The 4,731-nt window shown below is 54.1% G+C and overlaps 1 annotated feature.

The window, feature by feature from the left end:
* Nucleotides 2,650–3,517: an enhancer, noted in NCBI's record as "H3K4me1 hESC enhancer chr9:136062831-136063698 (GRCh37/hg19 assembly coordinates)". NCBI's record gives its function as "activates a minimal SCP1, AML or CMV promoter by ChIP-STARR-seq in naive H9 embryonic stem cells {active_cell/tissue: H9 hESC(naive)}" and the evidence as "EXISTENCE:reporter gene assay evidence [ECO:0000049][PMID:30033119]".

Below are 4,731 nucleotides of genomic sequence, written 5' to 3'. Positions count from 1 at the left end.
CAGGCCCCTAGAATATGACAGTGAACCCCAGACACCTGGAATACGACAGTGAGCCCCAGACACCTGGAATACAACAGTGAACCCAACACCTGGAATACGACAGTGAACGCCAGACACCTGGAATATGATGGTGAACCCCAGGCCCCTGGAATATGACAGTGAACCCCAGACACCTGGAATACAACAGTGAACCCCAGACACCTGGAATACGACAGTGAGCCCCAGACACCTGGAATACAATGGTGAACCCCAGACACCTGGAATACGACAGTGAACGCCAGACACCTGGAATATGATGGTGAACTCCAGACCTCTGGAATATGGTGGTGAACCCCAGGCCCCTGGAATATGACAGTGAACCCCAGACACCTGGAATACGACAGTGAGCCCCAGACACCTGGAATACAATGGTGAACTCCAGACACCTGGAATACAACGATGAACCCCAGACACCTGGAATACGACAGTGAACCCCAGACACCTGGAATATGGTGGTGAACCCCAGGCCCCTGGAATATGACAGTGAACCCCGTAAACCTGGAATACAATGGTAAACCCTAGACACCTGGAATACAACGATGAACCCCAGACAACTGGAATATGAAAGTGAACGCCAGACACCTGGAATATGATGGTGAACCCCAGACCTCTGGAATATGACAGTGAACCTATACACCATCCCTGTCCTGAGAGCTCACAGCCCAACAGAGGGGACAGCATCTCACCCACAGCCAGCAGTGGAGGCTACAAAGCTAGAGCCTGCTCTAGCATAAGGTCTTGTGCCAGCCACAGAGCTAGAGCCACCTCCAGCTCCAACACTCGGGCCAGCTCCAGAGCTAAAGCCATCTTCAGTGTCGGTTCTTGCCCCCCTTCTGGCACCAGGCTAGAGTTAGAATCAGCTCCAGAATAAGAGCCAGTTCTAGATCTAGCTCCAGCACCACTGCCTGGGATAGAGGCAGCTCCAGCCCTGGCTCAGGCCCCCGCTACTGAGCCAGTTCCACAGCCAGAACGCGGCAGCTCGAGCATCGGCCACCACTCCAGCTCCAGTGCGGGAGCCTCAGGCAGGCACCACCTTCAGCACCAGCTCCTGTGCCAGAGCTTTAAGGCCCCTCCCTGGGCTGGCAACATTTCATTTTTATAGTATGTTTCTATTTCATATTCTTTATGGTTTATTATATTTTGTGATTTAAATTTTATATACAGATCAGGTGCAGTGGCTCATGCCTATAATTCCAGCTCTTTGGGAGGCTGAGGCAGGTGGATCGCTGGAGCTCAGGAGTTTGAGACTAGCCTGGGAAACATAGTGAAACCCTGTTTCTACAAAAAAAAAAAAAAAAAAAATTAGCCAAGTGGTAGTCCCAGCTCCTCGGGAGGCTGAGGTGGGGGTTTCCCTCGAGCCTGGGAGGTTGAGGTTGCAGTGAGCCGAGATCTCGTCACTGCACTCCAGCCTGGGTGACAGAGCAATACTCTGTCTCAAAAAACTAAAACAAATTATACACAATGAAATGAAATTTAAACTTTAATCATTGTAAACTATACAATTCATGGATATTAAATGCATTTACTATGTGGTATAACCATCACCACTCTCTAGTTCTAGAATTTTTTCATCACCACTAACAGACACCCTGTACCCATTAAGCAGTCACTCTCCACCCCTCACCCCTGACAACCACTCATCTGCTTTCTGTCCCTGTGGAGTTCTCTGTCTGGCCTGTGGCCCCCTCTTGAGCACAGCTGACCATCCTTCTGCCCTTCCCCACCAAGCTGAAGACCCCTGACAACGCCAACACGTTTTCAACCGTGAACTCTACCGCTGACTATGACTTTGTCCAAAAGAAGCAACGCTTAGCAAGGGGACACAGGTCAGGTGTGGAGGCAGCTCGGCCCTCCTTGCATGAAGCAGAAGGGACTGGAGATTCCCAAGGGCATCCTCTCAGCCATCTCCTGTGCTGACTCACCACAGGGCCGCCCTCCCCAGGGTCTGGCTGCTGGCTAGGCACTTACAGACTGGAGGGGACCAGGCCAGTCAGGCACCTTCCAGCCACCTGCAAGCCCAGGCCACCCCAGACTCCAGGGGCTCTGTCCTTCTGTTGGATAAAACACCTGCTGGTCACCAGGCTGACCTGGCCTCAGTGGACCGCCATAATTGCCTTCTGTGCCCTGGGAACCAGAGGACCAGCTAACCCTTTCCAGCAGGTGCTGCCACCATGCTCCGAGCCCTGTTGGCCCCACGTGCTGCCCCCCCCCCCACCAGCATGTCCCTGACACCCTTCTAGTACAGGTCACTGCCATCCATGCCCGGGGCATCCTAGAGCACCCACTCAGCCAGCAGATCTGACAATGGTGAAGCTGCCCTTCCAGCCGCCAGGCCCCCAGCAGGGAGCTCAGGACCAGAGGCAGCTTCCACTCAAGCCCTGAGACCAGCTCAGGTGAGCTCCTCCCTCAGCAGCCGGGACATTGCCAATGCACTCAGCGTGCACTCAGCCGGCTCCTCCAGCTGCAAAGTGAAGGAGATCAATGTCAGCTTTGTCCTGGAGCCCCCTAATGGCAGGGAAAGAAGGCGACTGCTTGCCCTTCTCCCTGACAGCTCTTTCATTCTATGTCCCCTCCCAGCCGGTGCCTGCGTTCCCCACTCTGCACCCAAAAAAGAAGCAACAAACCCCTGACTGCTGAATGGAGCTGCTAACAAGCCCCAGAGGGGGACGCTGGCCTCAGAAGCCCTGCAGGGTCCAGGCTTCTGCTGATCTTGCTATTCCCCTCAGTTCTGGGAATCGACCTTGCTGTCATCCGCAGGGACCTCCGGCACCAACTCCGACTCCAGCAGCACCTCCTCCTCTTCAGCCTCCAGCACACCACGGCTGCTAAACCCACCTTCAAATTCTCAGTCTCAGGGCTCTGCAGCCACAGCTCCTCACGCTGCTCTACAACCTGCAGGTAGGCGACGCCACGTCATCCACATCGGCCCGGACAAGGACAAGACAACAGGTACAAGAGCGTCCTGGGGTGCCAGGCAGGTGGGCAGTCCCTGGTCCCCTCACTCAGGCCTCTCTGGGTACAGACGGACCTCTCCTGCAGGACTGTTTTGACAAGTGACCAGTTCTGGGCCATCCAGGCAGCATGCCCAGCCTGAGCGGAGGCTGATGGTCCCCACAGTCCTCATCTAGAGCCAGAACGAGCTCCCCAACCAATTCAGAATTGGAGCCAGCACCAGACATGGAGCTAGACCCAGTGCCAAGTTCAGAGGAAGAGCCAGTGGCAGCACTGGCTCTCGCATCAGCTCCAGAGGTAGAGCCCGGGCCAGCAGCAGCTCCCGCACCAGCTGCAGAGCTACAGATGGCCCCAGCACTAGCTTCAGAGCTACAAGCAGCTCCAGAAACAGCTCTAGCACCATCAGCGGAGGTAGATCTAGCTCCAGTACGAACTTGAACATCAAATCCGGAGTTTGGGCACCTTTATCACAAATTGCTGCACTAGCTGCAATGGTAGTTCTAGCACCAGCTCTAGAGCTTGAACCGGCTCCAAAATGATTACAGAATTAGAGTCAATGCCAGGCTCATACTATGGCCAGCACCAGATTCAGAGGAAGTCAGGTCCAGAGCCAACTCTAGCACTAGCTCCAAGCTAGAGCCTGTGCTGCCTCCAGAGCCTAAACAAGAGCTCTAGCTCCAACACCAAAGCAACTCCAGAGATAGAGGCAGCTCTCTCAACTCGGATACCATCTCTAGAGCTAACCCCAGCTGCAACAAGAGCTCTAGCTCCAACACCAATCCAGAAATCGCTCAAGCACCACCACTCCCAGCAACTCCAGGGATAGAGGCAGCTCTAACGCCAACTCTGGTGCCATCTCTAGAGCTATGACCTGCCCCAGCACCAATTCAAGGAGACAGCCAGTGAGAGTTTTCATTTCGGATACAGGTCCAGAACCTCCTGTAGTATCACCTCCTGACCTAGAGCCACTCCAGCATCCACCTCACAGCTAAGGCTAGTGCCGGCTGCACGTCAAACCCGACTCTGCCATCACCTCCAGAGGGAGAGCCAGTCGCTGGCCCAGAACCACAGCTAGAATCAGCTCTGGCACCAGCTCCAGTCCCAGCTCCCAAGATACAGCCAGTGCCAGCCCCAGGACCAGAACCTTCATGGCCCTCACCTGTCAAGGCATTCTTTTTTTCCTGCCTGGTTTTCTTTTATTCATATACTTTATAGTTACCTGTATTTTATGTTATAAAATTCATATAAAATAAAGGTTACTTTTTTTTTTTTGACACGGAGTATTTCTCTGTCGTCAGGCTGGAGTGCAATGGCATGATCTCAGCTCACTGCAACCTCCGCCTCCGGAGTTCAAGCAATTCTCCCGCCTCAGCTCTCGCGTAGCTGGGATTACAGGTGCCTGCCACCATGCCCAGCTAATTTTTGTATTTTTAGTAGAGACAGGGGGGTTCACCATGTTGGCCAGGCTGGTCTTGAACTCCTGACCTCGTGATCCGCCCGCCTCGGCCCCCAAAGTGCTGGGATTACAGGCATGAGCCACCGCGCCCGGCCTAAAGTTTACCTTTTAAAACGTACCCAATTGTACAACTGAGTGGTATTCACTACATTCACCATCCTGGGCACCATCACCACTCTCAGTTCTAAACACTTCCATCACCCCAAACGGAAACCCTGCCCCTGGTAAGTAGTCACGCCCCATCTCCCACTCGGCGCCTCTAGCACCAGAGCTGGCCCCTGAGC

The sequence above is a fragment of the Homo sapiens genome, chromosome 9 (genome assembly GCF_000001405.40).
Source record: "Homo sapiens chromosome 9, GRCh38.p14 Primary Assembly".
Taxonomy (NCBI): domain Eukaryota; kingdom Metazoa; phylum Chordata; class Mammalia; order Primates; family Hominidae; genus Homo; species Homo sapiens.
Note: the sequence above shows the minus strand (reverse complement) of the source record. Positions and strands in the feature narration are given on the sequence as shown.